General features: G+C 35.7%; 1 protein-coding gene across 19 annotated transcripts in view; it reads right to left on the bottom strand.

Moving 5' to 3' along the window:
- Positions 1-22614, bottom strand: part of USP25 (ubiquitin specific peptidase 25) — a 150083-nt gene that overhangs the window by 47867 nt on the left and 79602 nt on the right. For 10 of the 19 annotated variants that reach the window (NM_001352560.2, NM_001283041.3, NM_001283042.3 and 7 more), the window contains 8 exons: positions 20988-21061; positions 13352-13500; positions 8032-8159; positions 7137-7232; positions 5833-5994; positions 4995-5221; positions 1597-1667; positions 569-797 (listed from right to left, as the gene is read on the bottom strand). In NM_001352560.2, the coding sequence (NP_001339489.1) occupies positions 569-797; positions 1597-1667; positions 4995-5221; positions 5833-5994; positions 7137-7232; positions 8032-8159; positions 13352-13500; positions 20988-21061 (1136 nt within the window). Of the gene's footprint in view, positions 1-568; positions 798-1596; positions 1668-3512; positions 3858-4994; positions 5222-5832; positions 5995-7136; positions 7233-8031; positions 8160-9786; positions 9911-13351; positions 13501-20984; positions 21062-22614 lie in introns of those variants that run through there. The other 9 variants (NM_001388301.1, NM_001388302.1, NM_001352561.2 and 6 more) reach the window with 6 other exon arrangements.

Below are 22614 nucleotides of genomic sequence, written 5' to 3'. Positions count from 1 at the left end.
GACAGCATAAGGAGAGATACTTTTTGGCAGATCAAGAAATAGTTTGCAGGGGAAATGACACCTGAATTGAATCTTGACAGATAAACAAGAATTAGGCAAAAGAATTACTAGCAAAAAATAAAACATATACGAACATGCAAACATAAATGTGTGAAATGGTTTGATATGAGCAGATACAGCAAGAAGTTCAGTAAGGATATAAATTCAAAAGGAACACTGGTGATCAATGAAGGTGGGGAGATAATCAGAGGCCAAGAACAGAGGCCATATATGTTAGGCTAAGGAATTAAATATTAAATGTGAGTCAATCTGTGGAACAGTCACTAAAGCATTTTTAGCAAGGACGAAAAAGGTCATATTTACCTTTAATAGTTGACTTGGAATACAAAATATATACGAATTCTTAGCCCTGACGACATTACTTTTCAATTCAGTCTTGTCAAAACCCAGTAGCATTTCCTAACCACATCCTTCATCGTCTGAGTGAATTACACTTAACTAATCACACCACATACCAGAGCCACTTTTATGACTATTTAAAAATACACACCACCCTATATATTCTTACCTTGTATTAGGAACTGTGCCTTATCATTTATGTACATTAAACAGTATGCACTGGCATTTCTATAACCACCAAAAGAGTCCCTCACTAGCTCTTCCCATGATGATTTTGTCACAGCAATATCATTGTACTTCATCCATCTGCTTTCACGATGATCAAAAATATATGCCCAGTAGTGCCCAGCATTAGCTTGGCCTTCGTGAACTAAAACGGCATGTAATCGATAAGGAACCTAAATGTGAAAAAAAGAAGAGTTAAACTGCAATTATGTAGTTTACTATATACCACATTCCATGAAACCCACAAACAACCTGTTTGGAGAAAACCATAAGAGCATTTTTTTTTTTAAATGAGAGAGAACTGGCTGGGCTTAAAAGTTTGAAAAAAACTAAACTATAAAACTTTAAAAAGACGGAATCTGAATAAGCTAAAGATATGCAAAGTTGATAGATTAAAAAGATGATTTTTGAAAAACTAAAAATGTATTTATTGTGTACATACTCATTGGCCTAATTGTTTATTTGAATAAAAAGCTTATAGTGGGCAGTTTTACATATAGCAAATGTGTCTACATCTTCAGAATTCTAAATTGACGGTTAACAAAATAGATTATATGATATACACCAGAAGTTAAAATGTAATGGAGTCCTTAAGTTTCTTCCCAAATCTTAATATCCTTTAACAACCATAGATTTTCTCCCATAAGACTTTTTAAAGATGCTATAGCCTTTTGAAAAACTTTGGTAGATTTTACTGTAAAATAGTAAGGGTACACAACACATACGGTGTGAAAATACAACTGAATGGGGAAAACTTGTCATGAATTTTGTTATAAATTTGTTATAAAAGTTTCCCCATTCAGATGAACTGTCACATTGTACATATTGCAAGCCCTTATTATTTTACAATAAGATTTGCCAAAATTTTAAAACAAAACATGTAAAGAAAAATTAGATTAAGATAATGTAAAGGTAAATTAAAATATATGTAAATAATTTTGACAATGATTACTAGCTCAAAATTTCACTTACTTGTATCATAGATTTGTCAGAGTACATTAATTCAATTGTTCGATGGATTCTGGATATGCTTTCCTGCAAATCTAAGGATATAAGGTGTCATTTAATGATTAACAGCAAATGTGTTTCTACTTATAAGATAAGGACTAATGTTTTTCCTACAAACATGTTAGAGGAATAGGAAAATTTTCCTAAAACTTTTCTTAAAAAACATTACCATTTGAAATCTGTAGAAAATGAATTATAGTTATTCTTAATAAAAGACACAGTACAAATGCATACTTTAAAAACAACACAAATATGATTTATCTAGAAAATGTGCAGAGCCAATAAAAGTGAATTTTGTTCAAATCTATAAAGGAGAGTTTCAATGAAAATGAAAGCTAAGCTTCCTTACATATTGCTATAACACAAGTAAACTTAAGAACAAAGTAAAACATGTTCACCACATATCTTGTACACACACATAACTGAATAAAAATCGACTATAATCACCAGTGAAAATAAAATTATGGCACTCCCATGACAATTATTTCTACTTCTAGTAGAAAATAATCCTACAAAATTGTTCAGATAGGGATGTTCACAGTCATATTGTCCACAATAATTTTTAAAAAAGAGATAACCTAAATATCTGTCAATAAGGAAACGGTTAGATTGTAACCACATCATATTGTGAAGCTGCTGAACCAATCAGGAAGAAACCTTGAAAAACTATAAAAGAAACTGGCTAACTTTAGAGTGGGGAAAGACCTGTCTTAAGCCTGTCAGAAAACTAGTAACCTTATAGGAAAAGATAAGATCCTCCCTGCCCAACACTTTAAAAAATCTACATTATAAAAAGAAAACAAAACCAACATAAAATCAAATGAAAAACTGGGAAAATAATATCTGCAGCATATGTGATATTATAGGTAAAGTGTTAATATCCACAATACATTAAACTTTCTATTAAGTAATAAGAAAAATACAAATAGCTCAATACTTAAAAAATGGGCAAATGTCACAAACAAGAAATTTACAGAACAATATAAATATCCAACTTCACTCGAAGCTAAGGGAATGCAAATCAAAACACTAAAATACCAGTTTTTCAATTGTGAAAAACTACTAAAAAGTGTCCAGGGCTAGGGAGGATACTGGGAGACAGGCTCTCTCACACAGTGGGAATGCAAACTGGTTTAATGTTTTGGAGTGACAATTTTAAAACAGTCGTCAAAATTTAAAATATACACACTCTGAACCAGAAATGGTGGACATAAGGAAACAACAGATATTGGGGCCTACATTAGGGTGGAGGGTGGGAGCAGGGTGAGGATGGAAAAACCACCTATCAGGTACTGTGCTTATTACCTGCATGATGAAATAATCTTACACCAAACCCCCAAGACATGTAATTTACCTTTATAGCAAACCTGCACATGTACCCCTGAACATAAAAAAGAACATATCCTACTTACAGAAGTGTATAAATATGTATATCGAAGACCAGCACTATTTAGGAAATATCAATATGGGAATTAAATGAATTACATCATACCCGTGTGTTGGAATATTACACAATAGTTTACAAAATAATGCTAACTGCTAACATCAATATGGATGAAAGAAAGAAAAAAAATATCCTGAGGAAAACCTTCTTTCCTGATCCATAGTATTACATATAAAAATCTTAACAGCCAGGCATGGTGGCTCACGCCTGTAATCCCAGCACTTTGGGAGGCTGAGGTGGGCGGATAACAAGGTCAAGAGATTGAGACCACCCTGGCCAACATGGTGAAACCCCATCTCTACTAAAAATACAAAAATTAGTTGGGTGTGGTGGCACACAACTGTAATCCCAGCTACTTGGGAGGCTGAGGCAGGAGAATCGCTTGAACCTGGGAGGCAGAGGCTGGAGTGAGCCCGAGTTCATGCCACTGCACTCCAGCCTGGTGACAGAGCGAGACTCCGTCTCAAAAAAGCTCTTCAAACTTAAAATGGCCAAAAGAGAACTCATCATATTTCTCTTTCCTCCCCTGAGTGGGAACCTCTTTGCCCACTGCTTTACCTTTTTTCCAAAATACATTCTATTTGGTTATTCATACCATTATGAACTGAGAGAATCATTCGATTCGTCCCTCTCTCTTACCTCTAGCCAATGACCCACATCTGTCAGTTGTCTCCAAAGAGTATTTTAAGTACATTCACTTCTTCCCTCCCTCAATGCCACTACTTAGGTGTCAAAAGCTTCCTAGCTTCCACTCCTCTGAATGTAATCTTTTAAAAACAACCTGCCATGAGGAGTAGAAAATTACCCAACGCCTAATATAGTGCTTCATCAACACTATTTGCTTGATTAATGTTTGTTAATGAGTTCAAATATTTTTAAAAATTCCCTCTTATTTGAAAAATACTAAAGAAAATCTTGACAGCTACTAATGCTGTTAGTCACCATCATACCTTATGTACTTCTTACTAAATTAGGGCCATTCTTTTTCAAATATTGTCTATAAAGAGTTAAGTTGGTCATATAATATCCAACAATCAATATTGTTCAATATAATTCCAACCATGTCACATAGTTCATTTTTTTCAAAAATCAATAAATCAGCATAAAATTGGGGAATGATAATAGGGAATTATATTTTCACATTTAAGGAAAAAAATGTAATAAAATCTACCATAATCCATTTTTTTAAGTACACTTTAACAGCAGCAAAGTAGGAAAGAGAAAAGTTCAGAATAACTTATTCTGAAAAAAAAGAAAAAATAGAATAGAAAAGAATAAAAGAGAGTTCCTTCCAAGAAAGGACAGATGGCAACTTGACACACACACACACACACACACACACACACACACACACACGCACACGCACACAAGTGCACACACCCCACCCAGAGCACTGTCCTTATTTTTCTTATTTTGCTGCATGCCAGTAAAAACTCTGTTACAGACTAGTAATGGGATCATAGATACTCATAAATCTGTTAGAGCTATTAAAAATTAAAATTCACATTTCTAATTCTTAAGCCCAAAGAAAATTTTTTAATCACCGGAACTCCCTGTGCAAACTTAGATTTAGTACCTAATTGATATGTACAAACATTGATATTGTATGACATTTCTCCAATGGAGTAACTGTGAATACCAGTTTGATATAAATTTAGAGCAGCAAACTAGAAAATCAGGCCATCTGCTATGTCATTAATCAGCTAAGCAATCCAGGGAAAATCTTTTGGTCCCTGTGAACCTGATATTGAGATTATAAAAATGGGGAGCCAAACTAGTTTATCTTAAAACCCTTTCTGGAAAAGAAAAATGACTATAATATTTAAATATAAAATCCAGACGTGATTTCCCTTCTCAATATTAACATTACACATATCCATCTGAGGTGACAGTAACCATGCTATGAGACACTTCTTACCTCTGGTGTCATTTTCTATTTCTGTCCTCCAGCGATGTAAACAACTTTCCAGCACAGAAAGTTCTTCCTCCGTTATGTGCCTTGGTGCCGGATGCATGGGCAAATCTGGAGGTATCCGGGACTGAGTAAATGGTTTGTGTATTACTGATCTCGATGAAATGGCAGCAACTGATGAAGGTGATGTGCTTGGCAGTTCTGAAGATAGGGCTCCCTGTTGTTCTGTTGTGCTGTATCAAAGCATAGAGTATTTCTTATTAACCTTTCAAGCTGAAACTCTTGACAAAGATCGTGCCAAACCCACAGTATTAAATTGGCTTGTAATTCAAAAGAAAAAATCTTAAAGAAATATGTGGATTGATCTAACATCCAAATGAGATTTTTAATACATAAGAACTAAATTATTATAAGATGAAGTTGTAGCTTTAGAGTTAAAACAGCTTAATCATATTTATTTCTAAAAAACAAGAAAATCTTACGCATGGTGATATTATTTTCCCTGGCTTATCAGCTTACATTACAGAAACAAATTCTAATTTGATAGTACTATTTTTATGGATCATAAAATGCTGAATCTTATATATGTACATACCAAAACATGCTAAAGTATAATTCTGAACTGAAAAAAAATGTGATTAAAATTTTAATCCATAACCATAAAATCTACTGAAATAATAAAAAAACTCCCAGAGGACATACAGTCTTCTAAGTGAATCTACTCTTAGGAGTTCACTGAAGTAAATCAAAGCATACATTTTATAGAAACTGTCTTTAAAGGCAGCAGTTACATTATTGTGTAATAAAGGTAACAACTGTCTCTTGCATCAGGATTACTTTTTACCTTGGTAATGTCTGTGATGGTATGGAACCACTAGGTGGGGAACTAGCGTCAATATCGTCAACAGGAGAAGTGCAAACAGGTTTACTTGAGGCAAATTCCAATGCATACTGAAGAACATCTACCAAGGGGAATCGTTTGGGACCGGAACCATAGCTTAAATATCTGTTAATCATAAAATGTACAAATGCTTTTATTTCTATATACAGCATATTTGGGCCTTTATTATTATTATAAAACGTGATACGATACTTCAATAAAACTTCCTCAGCAATAAAATTCATTTGCTTTAAAACGAAGATGGTAAAACTGAATATACACTTAAGAAAAACATTAAAAGTTCCCCAAAGACAGGAAACCAAGGCCGATTGGGACTGAATGTGAGTATATACTGTTATAATCTGTAAATGCTGTTCTAAATTGTAACTCAATAGGAAGATGAAAACTGACATCTCCTGAGACTGTTTTTATTTTTAGATCTGGCATCTGGTCTCATGATCAAGACAGTGATGTGTACTATCCTCCTATCTTTTACCACTAATCATGTTTCAATATGATTATTCATACTTTTTAAGAATAAAAATCATTAAAATACAATATACTATTTGATGTAAGAAGTTTTAGACTACTAATTTGAAAATTCCTAAAATAGGGGAATGCAGAGCAGATTGGGGTTTGCAAACTGAAATGACTTGTGACATTTCAGCCTTTAGATTTCTGTCTGGCCTGTAGAACATTTCTCAGTCCAGATTCTGACGTCTTTTAGAAATGATCCAAATCAATAGACAACAGTGAGGCCATACTCATACATGGTACCATCCACTGGTATGGAATGGCATTCATTCCCTGTACACACAGATTGCTCTCTAGGCTCCCGGCACATACCATCTTACACCTGACACAATTTCCTCCTTTACGAAGCTGCTGAGAAGACTTGGTAGGCAGCTGAGTTTGTATCCTGTTTTAAGGAGAAAAACTCAGATACCATTCATTTTAATGAAAATCTCAAGAGTAATCTTTAGTTTCATGCAAAAAGGAAGGTCAAAACTATATTCATTTAACTTTGTATCTATTTTCAGCAGTAGGAACATTACCTGTTGACAATGAGATATTTAATTTTAAACACTAGAATAATTTTTTAAAGTCTACTATAGATTTTTAGTTTCAAGCAAAACTCAAAACTATTCACACAATATTAACTACTCCTAAAATTATAAATCACTCAAAGCAAATTTGAAATTAAAAATCTAGTCACCAAATACATGGTTTCTGATAATTATCTCCTAATTTCATAAAAGTTAAAATACCTTTCTAGCCTTTGTTGTAATACCGTGAGGTAATCTTTCAGTCTCTTGATCTCTTCCCTCTTAATTCTTGTTATTTCTCTGTTTCTGTGCATGTATCTATCAGAAAAAGGTAATCATTAGCATTTCCGAATATCATGAAAGTAGATGCAATATGGCCAGATGCCAGCGTACCCGGCCTACCACTCTGGGACGCCAAGGCGGGAGGATCACCTGAGGTCAGGAGTTCAAGACCAGCCTGGCCAACATGGTGAAATCTCGTCTCTACTAAAATACAAAAATTAGCCAGCCACGATGGTGGGTGTCTGTAATCCCAGCTACTCGGGAAGCTGAGACAGGAGAATCATTTGAACCCAGGAGATGGTGTTTGCAGTGAGCCAAGATCGCACCACTGCACTCCAGCCTGGGCGACAGAGCAAGACTCTGTCTCAAAACAAAAAAGAAGGAAAGACAGAAAGATAGACAGAAAGACAGACAGAAAAAAACAAAAGAAAGAAAGACAGGAAAACAGGAAGACAGAAAGACAGGAAGACAGAGAGACAGAAAGAAAGACAGAAAGATAGATAGATACAATATTAAGTACAGACATCACCACAAAGCATCAATTCATTCAAAATTGTATAAGATGTAAGGTAGATAATACAAAATGGTATTTTTTAAAATTCTGAATTTTAAGATTACAAAATTCATCTTTTTTAAATTTCCTTATAACATTATTCCCAAAAACTATACTTTTCTAATACAAAGTAAATTTCATCTACCTTGACAAATGGTATTAGGTATATTATGCAAAAGTAGAAATTAATTCTAAGAAAATTATGCAGAATTTTCCTCTAAACAATATTTTCTCCCTTACTAAACTGTTTCAAACTAAGTCATGCAGTATATCAAACCATACCTGTCCAAATATAAAACTTGGGGAAATTCTAATTTGTTGTGAATTTTTTCTGGTCTTCCCAATGCCTGATTAAATTCAAATCTTGACAATTCAAATGTTAACACAGGTGGTAATTCAGTAAACCAATGCTGAAAGGAAATAAAACAATAACAAAAACTTTAATACCACCTTTGTTTTCTTCACTGCAATCTTAGGCACAGGATGTGGGCACTGACATTGTTATATGTATCACCACAATGCGGACCTGACAAGTAACTGGGTACACAGTTTAGTTAAAACTCAACCTCTTTCTAAAAGTTTTCCACACCTCTTGAAAATTCCAAGAGTGGGTATAATATATGATCAGGAAAAAAAGAAATCTCACAACTATCCTTCGAAAATAATTCTTTACATTAGAATTTCTAGCCCAAAGAAAAAGACACTGGTTAAAACCATGACTTAGTAGCTCAAGTCTTCTCTGTCTTCTTCAACGTGATGTTGAATGGCACTTATACTTAACCAAAGCATCAAAATCCTGTGATAAAATAACTTATGAGAGGGAGTACTCAAAAAAAAATTTATATCATAAATCGTCACAACTCTCATACTAAAAATGAAAAAATGGTGTTTTCCTGTTTTAGCTTTAGCTCCTCTGCTGGATTTCATACTAATTTATGAAAAAGACATATCACTAACAAAAAGTTAATACTTAGAGTAATTTACTTAAAATCTTTTAAAATAACTAGTGTTTAAAGAATTGAATGTCTCATTGCTATGAGCCAAATTCTGATAATGAGTATAGCCGTAATTTCCTTCCCCTACCCCCAGCCCCTAATCCCCATACATGCTTTGGTAACTGTTCAATTAAGCATGAAATTCAACATTTTTAAAAGAAAATTATTTTCATATACAACCTCAAATTATACATAAGCATATGTATTTAAAGAGAAAGAAAGATTGTATGTAAATCAACAAAGAACAGAAGTATAAAATAGTTCTGAAGTGCTTATTATAAACTGCAATATGCGAAACTGCTGCATAATCTATTGTGTGTGATAATTTCAAGTGTCACAAAATGCCACCACACATCTGTCAATAAGTTAAGAATATACCAAATTTAAATTTGAACATCCAAAAAAAGCATGAATGGCACACATCTGGCAAACTGAATCTGAGGAGGATCTGGAAAGTTGCTACTTTTCTCTACAGCAAATAAAAGCAAATGGTATTCAATACTATTTCTCTTTCAAAATGCTATAATTACTTGAACTGAGATTTCCTGAGCTGGATGGTTATCTTTTACTGAAAGCTAAAGTTTAAGGAATTTGTTTTATATGGATAATACCTGAAACGGATTAAATAAAATTATGAAAAATATAAGAAACATCTCAAGTTTTAAAATTTGATTAGCAAAGTTTGCTTACTCATTTTGATCTCACATGGAACTGGCAAGAATTTTTGAGTTAGTTCTAATCCACATATAAAATTATTATTAAGAATTAAAACATTACCCCAGACACATCAGAAAGAACACTTTTGATTCTTTAGGATAATATTCTCTGCTCCATTTTATGATACTCAAACAAGAAAGTAGATTTCAAGAACTATCACTTTCATATTTTATTGCAATACTTTAAATGTCACCATTAAAATTAAATAGTTACATATTTTAATTCATGGAAATCTACAATGGCCACAAGAAATGAAATGACCCAAACTGGGGTACACTTTTCTGTAGACCATGAAAAGTCCAGGAAATATAAATAGCTTCCATACCTTACAAAAGGATGTTCAAAAATGTTATGTAATATGTCTCTGTTATGAATGCATTTTCCTCTATCAGCGATGGCAGGTTTTTCCTACTACAAGAGTGGAAGGATTTCACTTTCTCATTCTAAAGCTGATGGGGACAAGATGAGATAACCAGACATTCTGTAAATTCATGTTTTAAAATATTAATGGTATGTCTAGCTCTGCAATATTTGGATTGTAGTATAGCAGTACATAATTTGAATTTTAAATAATACGAAACATGAGAAATTTTTCTTTCAAAAAAATATTTCCATTCAACAAAAAACTATATCTACTTGTCTACAATCTAACTAGTATGCCATGCTTGTGAGACAGAGGTCATTCTCCATATCTCTAAACATATTATTATTTTACTAGATAATGAAACTACAGGAGGAATAGATTTCTGCAGTTAGTGAATAAAGAACTTACATAATCAGTATTGGCAGCACAAGTGCTTCTAAATTCATCACAATTCTAGAAATCTCACCTGTTAACAAAAGTAGTTCCTAAAGAGTATGTCATTTTTATGAGTTTTAATAGCTGGTTTTCTATTAAAGTGTATAAGATACCTTGCTTTTATGAGAGGATTACACAAATGTGGAGAGAAAAAAACAACAGAAAAAACACACCTATCACTTCAAATTCCCCACGGAATATCAAACCAAGCCAGGATGTAAACTATGCACAAGAAGCAAAAACTTTTTATTCCAGTTAAAAAATTAGCTCCAGTCATTTAATTGCCTTGACTCATTTGCCCTTTGATTTCAAAAGTTAAGTTCCCCATATAACCTCTACAGATGTCTAATATGGTACATGTCGATATTGTTTCTCTAATTTTGTTTTTAAAGCTTTGTAAAAACTCCTTCTAGCACTTTATTATAACTTGGTACAACTTTGTGAAGGGAAATTTGGCAGTGCCAACACATCTAAATGAGTATGCCCTGTGACCCAAAGATTCTACTTCTAACTATACTTCATTCCTAAGTGCGCAAGGGTATTTATACAAAGACATTCTTCAGAATAGTTCTTTTTCGAGTTACTGCCTTACAGGATAATTAAATCAATTTAATTTTATAAATACAGACTATGTGACACTATGTAGATTTTAAAAACACTGACGTAAAGCTCTACACTAACTTAGAAGCATGCTCATGATATACTGCTGAGTGAAAAATGCAACTTTCGGGGCAGTGTGGACAGATGCAAATACTTATATGTGCATAGCAATAGTCTAAAAGAACACACAGCACACACTGGTAGTAGTGAATACTCACACTACAAGTGAAGTATTTACTATCTGAAATTTTTTTCCTCCAACAGACAATCAAAAAATATCTCCATGTTTCCTGGAGAGTCTGACTCATCTACAAATTGCATACCATTTAAAAGTTAAAATGTATCATTTAAAAAATATTTAAGCAGTTATTTTGGATATAATCATGTTTAACTTATTCAGTTGTCTCTTAGTATATCATCCACAAAATTTAAACTCTTATAGCCAATTGGATGTTTTAGCTTGGAAGACTGGAGGTCTTCCTATATATTAGTTGGCCACAGCTATTTCAGCAAATAAGATGTTCTCTGGGCCAAAATAAAATCAACAATTTTTAATAGATTGAGGAAAAAGCTATTGTTATCAGGGATTATGCCAATTTAGAAATAGTCTGTAATGTTACTTACTGGCTTTTAGAGATTCAAGAATACTTTTTCTAAAGGATATAATAAGACTATAATTTAAATATGTTATTTTTTAAAAACTGATACTATACTTTAGTCAGTGACAGTCTCTTAAATCAAGCTGAATTATTATTGAAACTATAGCCTCCAGCAAATCTAGAAAAATGGTAGCAGGAATCACAGGCAATCAAATTTGCCACAGTAGTGGAGATTAGAAACTGCTAAAATAGAGAACCATCATAAATCATTATATTCCCTAGGCTAGATGAAAAAACCTAGGCAGAACATTTATATTGCAACATAGGGGCATTCAGAGTATAAAACCAATAAAAAGATGGAGGACAAATCTAAGATATTTTAAATAAACAATAAAATTTCAATTCTGTGTACAATAAAAATTTTTAAAAGCTGGGAATATGTGAGAAAGATTACCAATAAACCATAGTGTATTTCAGCTACTCTGATAATATAAAAACAAGTACCATCCCTGCCTTACTACCCCAATCATCCTTTCATTTAACAGCAAACAGATCGGATTTTAAGAGTCTGCTTTCTTATTCCATTGTGGGATACTGGTAAAGTCCCACTCTTAAGAGATCTGTTTCCCAATCAATAAAATAAGCTGAATTTAAACATTCTTATTTAGAGGTTTTTATCAGAATTACTTGTGCAGCTCTTGTGTCCATATACCACATCCCTATCGTAGACCCTGCCTGGATAACTTTGAAGTCTGGCTATTCTCTATTGAGAATCACTGAAATAGATGATCTACGATGTAGAGAGAAAGACTATTTCAAATACATCTCTTCCTCTTAACAGGAAAAGCATATTTTTGTTTGTTTATGTATGTGGGGGGGAAGAGGAAAAAAATGAGTATGCACTTGAAACAGGAAAGGGTTAACTGCATCTTTAAGAAAAAAAAATTAAAATTTAGACAAAAGCAATTTGTTCTCAAAAACACAAGAACAAAGTCTCCTTTTAGATAAACACAGAGACATCGTATCACTTAATATTTATTAAGCACCTATTCAGTATAAAGACCTCAGAAACTTGTTTGATAAGCACCAAGACATTTCATTCATTCACTCAATAAGTATTATGTATGCAGTTACCATATTACCACTAGGGATATAATAGTGAATGACACAGATAAAGACCTCTAGCCACATTCATGGAGTTTAACAGCTAGACAACTATCAGCAATTTCTTAACAGTAACTGATTGGGGAAGCACGTATGTCCTTTGCTTACTATTACAGTGCCAAAACTCCCTGACAGATGAATGCATGGATGAATGGCTACACAGATGCAGCTACAGAGATGGATAAAGAAACAGAGATGGCTGGAAAGAAAGAAACTAGTTGAGGTAGACATATAAGTTAACAATATTTTATAAAAATGATTTCTTCCTTGAGAAGGGAAGTTCTTCCATCTGACCTTATGCAATCACATAGCAATTTTACAAGAAAAGGAATCTGGGCATCGTGGACAAATTCCAATAACAGTTGATATAAGTAGCATATATCTGTTTTAAAATCCACTGTAATATCAGGATTTTTCTTCTTTATATCGAGGAACTAGCATGCTGCTAATGGCTGGTACCTTGATTGAAAGGTCTAAAAAGACTGAACAATGTCCTAAGATTTTAAAATTCTGAGATAAATTATTTAAGTGAGAATTTGACATAGATTATAGGCCATATTGACTGGACAGGTCTCCTGAATGTCTAAATTACCAATTAAATCCAAACATACTCTCTGAGTATTCTCTCTCAATTATTAGGTAGCTCTATAATTAGAACCTTACATTGTGCTATAGCATTGTAAGAAAGACCTAGGGAAGAAAGGGGACAATGAAAATGTTAAACTCACCTCTTGGCCTGATTTTCCTGAATTCTCTGAATGTAAAGACTCAATTTCTCCTTCAATCATTGCAGCTTCTAGGCACTCATGCAGATCTTTGAACCCATTGACCTGAAGTGGGTACTGACCAAACATTTCAGTGTTTTCAAATTTTTTACCTATAAGAAGGGAGAAAATTAATAATACTCAATATGGCCTTCTGGCTACTAAAATTAAGAGTACGTAAGGATTCTCACCTGAACCTGAAAATTGTAACACTGACTGATTTCATTCCTGAGAAGTGTTAGTGTTAATTTTCCTGTTGGTTTATACACATGTGCAAATGTACATTTATACCCAGCCATAGATATTACACATCCACATATATGTAATTATATACACACATATGTATGTATATTTTTTCTCGCAAGAAGCATTTTCTAAGGGCAAGATACTGTACTGAACACTGGGAATATATACAGCAGTGAACAAGAGAGATATGGTCCCTGAGCTGAGAAAATTCTCAGCCTCATTTAAAAAACATTATACCCATTAACTTCACATATATTTATAAACAAATAATTACAAATAATTATATTACAATTGTTATAAAAAGAAAGTTGTGATGAGACAGAATTATGTGAGAGGTATAAAAATGGGAGCTTAGTCTTGGAGGTGGTGGGGAGAGCAGGGAAGACCTCCATGGCAAAGGACATTTAAGCTCAGACTTGAATAATGAGTGGGAGTTAGCCATGCCAGAGTGCTGGGGGACTATAGAGTATTCTTGGCCATGGAACAGCATGATGAAGACTTTAAGGCAGTAAAGAAGTTGATATGTTTAGGAACTAACAGGAGGTTAGTGTAGCTTGGGGAACCAAGGGAGAGATTACAATGAAAAGTCAGGCAGTGAGTTAAAATCTACAAGGTCTTGTGGTCCTATTAAGAATTTTTTTCCCCACCACATTCTGGGTATAATGCAAAGTCACTGATACGGTTTGGCTGTGTCCCCACTCAAATCTCATCTTAAATTGTAGCTCCCATAATTCTCCTGTATTGTGGGAGGGATTCAGCAGGAGATAATTCAATCATGGGGGCGGTTTCCCCCATACCGTTCTCGTGGTAGTGAATATGCCTCATGAGATGTGATGGTTTTATAAGGGGTTTCCCCTTTGGCTTGGCTCTTGTTCTCTTCTCTTGTCTGCCACCAAGTGAGACATGCCCTTCACCTTCTGCCATGTTAGGCCTCCCCAGCCCATGATTGTTAGGCCTCCCCAGCCATGTAAAACTGTGAGTCCATTAAACCTCTTTCTTTTGCAAATTGCCCGGTCTCGGGTATGTCTTTATCAGCAGCATGTAAATGGACTAATACAGTCACTGAATGGTTAAATCTAAGAATAACAGGCTCAGGTTTATGTCTCTGAAACACCTTTAAAGTCCCTGTGTGAAGTGGGTGGTCATCTGTTAAAAGACTATTGCAGAATCTATCCAGAAATAAAGGTAGCATGGATGAAGGTTGTTAAAAGTAAAAATACAGAAAAGAGATAAAATTACATACATATACATTTATACATATATGCAAGGAAGGGCACCAACAGGACTTGACTGAGCAGGATAAGAGATAGGTAAGAAGGAAAATATCAAGAATAACAGAATTCTGGCATGAACAACTAGATGATGATAATGATTACTATTTTTTTTTTTTTGAACAACTAGATGATGATGATGATGACATTTTATTTTTTATTGAGACAGAGTCTCGCTCTGTCACCCAGTCTGGAGCTCAGTGGTGTGATCTCGGCTCACTGCAAACTCCGCCTCCTGAGTTCCAGCAATTCTCTTGCCTCAGCGTCTCTAGTAGCTGGGATTACAGGCGCCCACCACCACACCCGACTAATTTTTGTATTTTCAGTAGAGGTGGGGTTTCACCATGTTGGCCAGGCTGGTCTCGAACTCCTGACCTCAAGTGATCCACCTGCCTCAGCCTCCCAAAGTGCTGGGATTACAGGCATGAACCATCATGCCTGGCAGATTATGGACTGAAAATGGCACCACTTAAGTAAGAACACAGGATTTTTTTTTTCTTTAGTTTTGAGGTAGCAGTGGAAATCACTGGTTCATTATGATCCATGAGATTTCAATTTGAGAAGACAGTTGAATATGAATCTGTAACTAAGATTAACATTCTGGAATAAAGATAGAATTGCTGGCTTATTGACAGCAGGAAATTAAGGCACTGAATGAGATGCCTAGGGGATGGGACAGGAAGAAGAAATGGGCCTAAACAAAGTCCTAAGGTTCTGCTACCTTTATATGCAAAAAGAGACTATAAATACAACTTTTCTTAGAAGTACCCACTGAGGCAGGAAAAAAGCCACAAGAATATGGTGTTACAAAAGCCAGAGAAATGTGTTTTTAAGGAAAGAATAGGAAAAAGGAGGAAGAAGAGGTTAAGAGTCATCAGCATTAACAACTGGTAAGAATTCAATATGGAAAGTGTATTAGTCCATTATCACGCTGCTGATAAAGACACATCCCAAACTGGGAAGAAAAAGAGGATTAATTGGAACTACAGTTCCACATGGCTGGGAAGCCCTCAGAATCGTGGCGGGAGGCAAAAGGCACTTCTTACATGGCAGAGGCAAGAGAAGATGAGGAAGAAGCAAAAGTGGAAACCCATGATAAACTCATTAGATCTCATGAGATGTATTCAATATCATGAGAATAGCACAGGAAAGACTGCCCCACCATGATTCAGTTACCTCCGCCTGGGTCCCTCCCACAACATGTGGGAACTCTGGGAGATATAATTCAAGTTGAGATTTACATCAGGACACAGCTGAACCACATCATTCCAGCCCTAGCCCCTCCAAATCTCATGTCCTCACATTTCAAAACCAATCATGTCTTCCCAACAATCCCCCAAAGTCTTAGCTCATTTTAGCATTAACCCAAAAGTCCACAGTCCAAACCACATCTAAGACAAGGTTAAGTCCCTTCCGCCTACAAGCCTGTAATATCAAAAGCAAGCTAGTTACTCCCTATAAGAAGGGAGAAAATTAATGATCCTCAACATGGCCTTTTGGCTACTAAAATTAAGATTATGTAAGGATTCTCACCTGAACCTAAAAACTGTAACACTGACTGATTTTTTTCCTGAGAAGAGTTACAATTGGAGTACAGGTACTGGGTAAATACAGCCATTCCACATGGGAGAAACAGGCCAAAACAAAGGGGTTACAGTCTGAAATCCAACAGGGCAGTCAAATTTTAAGGCTCTGAAATGCTCTCCTTGGATGCCAGCTCTCACATCCAGGTCACACTGATGCAAGAGGTAGGTTCCCATGGTCCTGGGCAGCTCCGCCCCTGTGGCTTTGCAAGGTACAGCCTCCCTCCTGGCTGCTTTCACGGGTTGGTGTTGAGTGTCTGCAGCTTTTCCAGGTACACAATGCAAGCTATCAGTGGATCTAACATTCTGGGGTCTGGAGGACAGTGGCCTTCTTCTCACAGTTCCACTAGGTGGTGCCCCAGTAGGGACTCTCTGTGTGGGCTCCAACCCCACATTTCTCTTCCGTACTGCCCTAGCAGAGGTTGTCCATGAGGACCCCAACTCTGTAGCAAACTTCTGCCTGGACATCCAGGCATTTCTATACATCTTCTGAAATCTAGGTGGAGGTGCCCAAACCTCACTTCTTGACTTCTGTGCACCCGCAGGCTCAACACCACGTGGAAGGTGCCAAGGTTTGGGGCTTGCACCCTCTGAAACAATGGGCCGAGCTACACCTTGGCCCCTTCTAGCAAAAGCTGGAGCAGCTGAGACACAGGGCACCAAGTTCCTAGGCTGCACACAGCATGAGTACCACGGGCAGCCCACGAAACTATTTTTTCCTCCTAGGCTTCTCTGGGTCTATGATGGGAGGGGCTGCCAGGAAGACCTATAACATATCCTGGAGACATTTTCCCTATTGTCTTGGGGATTAACATTTGGCTCCTTGTTACTTAACACAAATTTCTGCAGCCACGACTTGAATTTCTCCTCAAAAAATGGGGTTTTCTGCTCTACTGGATCATCAGGCTGCAAATTTTCTGAACTTTTATGCTCTGTTTCCCTTTCAAAATGGAATGCTTTTAATAGCTCCCAAGTCATCTCTTGAATGCTTTGCTGCTTAGAAATTTCTTCCACCGATATCTTAAATCATCTCTCTCAAGTTCAAAGTTCCACAAATCTCTAGGGCAGAGGCAAAATGCCACCAGTCTCTTTGCTAAAACATAACAAGAGTCACCTTTGCTTCAGTTCCCAACAAGTTCCTCATCTCCATCTGAGACCACCTCAGCCTGGACCTTATTGTTCATATCACTATCAGCATTTTTGTCAAAGCCATTCAACAAATCTCTAGGAGGTTCCAAACTTTCCCACATTTTCCTATCTTCTTCTGAGCCCTTCAAACTGTTCCAACCTCTGCCTGTTACCTATCTCCAAAGTTGCTTCCACATTTTCAGGTATCTTTTCACCAACGTCCTACTCTACCGGACCCAATTTACTGTATTAGTCCATTCTCAAGCTGCTAATAAAGACATAGGCAAGGCTGGGAAGAAAAAGAGGTTTAATTGGACTTACAGTTCCACATGGCTGGGGAGGCCTCAGAATCATGGCAGGAGGCAAAAGGCACTTCTTACATGGCAGCAGCAAGAGGAAATGAGGTAGAAGTAAAAGTGGAAACCCCAGATAAATCTCAAGGGTTTATCCTGGGTTTCCACTTTTACTTCTACCTCATTTTCTCTTGTCGCCGCCATGGAAGAAGTGCCTTTAATAAATGATAAGTCTCAGGAGACTTATTCATTATCATAAGAATAGCACGAGAAAGACCAGCCCCCATAATTCAATTACCTCCCCCTGGGTCCCTCCCACAACACACGGAATTCTGCGAGATACAATCAAGTTGAGATTCGGTTTGGGACATGACCAAACTATATCAGAAACTGAAAGGGATCTAATGGATTTAACCACATGTAGAAAATCAATAACCTTAGCAAGATCCCTTTTAGACAAGTTCTGAAGCCAGAAACTAAACTGGGGCTAGGTTTAATAAATGGGGAGTAATCAGTTGAAACTAACTCCTCTCTTTAAAGGGGCTTAATTTTGAATAAGAATCAAGAGAGGGTATTAACTGAAAAAGAGTATGGGAGGGGATAACGTTTTTAATTTTTAAGGTTTGAGATACCAGACAATGTGTAAATATTGATGAGAAAGAAAGAGTGGGAGAAGCTCAAAAGCCAAGAAAAAACGAATGAAGTAAGGTCTGAGTAAAAGCATGAAGGGAGGGAATTCTGAGCACGTATAAAGAACAGTCTTTTGATATAAAACTGGGTAATTCCTTTATTATATGTAGGAGCAGGTAAAAATATAGTAGAGGTAGTGATAGATCTAGGTTATGGAGCCTGAGGCTCATATATTTGGGAATGTTGTGTTTTTAGAATATGATACAAAACTACAAATGTAAAATTAGATTCGGGGACTGGGCAAAACCTGTGATTAAGTTTCATTAATGTGACAGTAAATCTATGAAATCTGAGGTAAAGATTTTCTCAGAGAATGAAGAGATAAGTTAGATCTGAAATGAGTGGAAAAAACGAAAATATTTATTGCAGTAAATGAGAGAAAGAATGGTGATTACACAGAACAAGTTGGGTTATAGGATTGGGAGCACGGAAGCTCAGTATCACTCAAATTCATGATCCACTACAGTTAGCCCATTTCTGTGACTTTTTGCCAGCAATCTTCAGGTACTCAGTACAGACACAGAAAAGATGAACAGCTTAATGAAGGTTAGAGAACAGGGAGGGGGTGCCAGAAGGGAAGGGGGGAAAGAGAGTTTTAGGTTTTAGATGAAAAAGGAAGGAGTGAAGTACAGAGAAGGGCTGAGAGGGGACAATGAACTAGAAGTTCTCAAAAAGTTGAGGGACTTTTGCAGTGGGGGTACTTTGGCAAACAAACTAAAAATCATCCCTAATGAAGAACCATTGGTTTGAAAGAAAGTATTAGGAAGATCTATGTAAAAAGTGATAAGAAAGTACTCTGAAATAAATTACTTTTACTGAAGCAAACACATAGTTCAAGTGAAAACGTATTAAGGCCACCTTTATATAACACAATCACTAAAGCAACTTACTAATACCAAGTACAAAGACTTCAACACTGGATTGACAAATTAATTTTTTTTTTTTTTTTGAGACGGAGTCTCGCTCTGTCTCCCAGGCTGGAGTGCAGTGGCCCGATCTCAGCTCACTGCAAGCTCCGCCTCCTGGGTTCACGTCATTCTCCTGCCTCAGCCTCCTGAGTAGCTGGGACTACAGGCGCCTGCCACCACGCCTGGCTAATTTTTTTTTGTATTTTTAGTAGAGACAGGGTTTCACCGTGTTAGCCAGGATGGTCTTGATCTCCTGACCTCATGATCCACCAGCCTCGGGCTCCCGAAGTGCTGGGATTACAGGCATGAGCCACCGCACCCAGCCAACAAATTAAATATTTTAATAACAATCAATTTTAGGAATCAATATAATACAGGTAGAAATGCTCATGCAGGGTATTATAAACAGTGCCTAGTCATGACCTGATGAGACCTACTCGCTGCATCAGATAGTGTTCTACTTCAAATAAAATCAGAATGATTAAGATGAATGACCCAACGTAAATGTACTATGTAAAATATTCTACATATATATATAAACTTATATATATTAACTCATATATATGTGCATATATATATAAAACAACTTATATATAAGTTGTTACCACTTGAAACAAACAAAAACGTACGAACATGTCACTAAGACTTTTTAAAGGGCCAACATCTGAGTTAGTATTGTCTTTTTCTGAATCCCAAACCACCTACGTTCAAACAGAACTTCAGGGAATCCACTACTTAAGATCGTGAAGAAAAAGCATTTTTTCAAATTTTACACTTTAGCTGATCTGGAAAAAGATAACTTTCAAAAGTTGATGCATTGGGTGATGTGAGAAAAACAATTTTTCAAAAGTTTATGCTTTGGGACCTAATATTATTACATGAAGTTACATTTAAAGAGTCTCCTCCCTTGTTAGGGAACCCAAACAGAAACTACTTAGGCCAAATTTTAAGAAACAGGTATTTAGCTTAAATGGAGTAGTATCACTCTTCACTGATTTTTCAAAAGATAGAGTACAATCTTTTCCTGAAAACTAATATCTACATTTAAAATCACTGAAAAAGTGAGAACTCTATAATACCCTGACTATGCTAAGTTGCTAAATTCAGCTTTCAACATGAAAAAGAAAGTGAGCATCATATCAAGCCCAGTATTTAACTCCAATATTATCTTCAAAGGATCTATCAACCATCCCATTAATCCCTGTATTCCAACATAATTGTATCATGGAAGCCCTCTCACTGGAAAAAACATGAGGATAAAATAAAGTATTAATTAGTATGTGATAATGCACTCTGTACATTCCTTTTCCTTCATTCAATTCTGTGCTTTATGTGAATAACAGTAGCAATCCAACAAAAATTACTAGACAGAATATATCAAATTAAAAATAAAGTCCACTAAAAAAATAGTAACTATCGAGACGAATGAATGAATAATAATCTCTCTTCACTTGCAATAAAAAGTAAATGTATAACTCTACCTTCAAGTACTCCCACAGCCAGGAATCTGCCATAGAACAACTCTACCATGGGGTTCTTTGGCTTCTCTTCATCCCTAAAGTATGTTAAAAAATATAAATGTGATTACAATTTTCGGACCTATAAATAGAGAAAATATTAAAGAACTATAACATATGACAAGACAAAAACACTTATGTGGCTATCACGCACTTGCATTTAGCTCTGTTATTTACAGTGCCACGTTGCACAAGGTACTTATTCTTCCATTTCTTTACCTGTCAACTGCGGATAACTATGATAGCTGCACCCACAGGACTCTCATAGGAGTTAAAATGAGCTACTACGTGTATGAACTTGGAAGAGAAATTGACACAGTTTGTGCACAAAGTGCCTGCTCTTCCTATCATCATTACACATTTCAATCTCATACTCTGTGTAGTGCACGTTTATTTGGACATGGGAAGGAAGAAAAGCCACTTTTAATCAGAATACATTTCTACAAAATTTTGATAGGTTATTTCCTGTATTTACATGGAAGAGTCCAAAAAAATCCAAAAACAACAACCCTCACCAGGGAGGGAACGAGGTACCAGTTTTTCACCCAAAGTAGCTGAACAGCTACTTCATTCTTTTGTGAAGTTTCACACTGCTGGTAGAATTAGTCATCTACAAATTTTCCAAGTCATTTAATACCAAAATTCATTTTTTTCTTTTCTGCTTGGAGCAAACAAAAGTTGAAAATTTTAAATTGTCTTTTTATGGTTTGTGTGACCTAAAAAGACAAAGTTTATCCTTGCCTTACTGTATAGAAATGCGTTGTATCCACAATTGTGTACAGATTTTTCTGTATTAATTTGTGTTTATATTAATTGATTTGTGAAGTATTGTTTAAAAAGGGAGAGAGGGGATACCATCTCTCTTGATAAATGGGTCATCATTTAATCCTTAGAATAATGTTGATAAGTACTTCTCTTAATTCTTACAAGAACCCCAGTAGGTAGTATAGCAGTCTTTAATGCTACTGAAAAAAAATTCTGGCCCTTCACGTTCAGGTGCATGGTAAGATACACTGTCCTACTCACTTCTTAAAACTGTGATAAAATGTACATAACCCTTTAACTGTACAGTTCGGTAATGTTAAGTATATTCACACTGTTGTGCAACCAATGTCAGAATTCTTTTCCTCTTGCAAAACTGAAACTCTATATGCATTAAACAACTCCTCATCTCCCCCTCCCCCCAGCCTCTGGCAACCACCATTCTACTTTCTGTTGCTAAGAGTTTGATAACTCTTGATACCTCACATAAGTGATTTATAGTACCTGTCCTTTTGTGACTGGCTTCTTTCACGTGGCATAATATCTTCAAGGGGTCATGTTACACCATATGTCAGAACTTCTGTGCTTTTCAGGATAAATAATATTCCACTGTATGTATATACAGCACATTTTGTTTATCCATTCACCTATCAATGGACATTTGGTTTGCTTCCACCTTTCGGCTATTGTGAATAACGTTGCTATGAACACAGGTGTACAAATATCTCTTTGAAACCCTGCTTTCAATTCTTTTGGATATACACCAAGAAGCAGAATTGCTGGATCATATGGTGATTATATTTTTAATCTTTTAAGAAATCCCCATACT

This window comes from Homo sapiens, chromosome 21 (genome assembly GCF_000001405.40).
Source record: "Homo sapiens chromosome 21, GRCh38.p14 Primary Assembly".
Classification (NCBI taxonomy): Eukaryota; Metazoa; Chordata; class Mammalia; order Primates; family Hominidae; genus Homo; species Homo sapiens.
The sequence above is the reverse complement of the archived record's forward strand: the minus strand, read 5'-3'. Positions and strand labels throughout refer to the sequence as shown.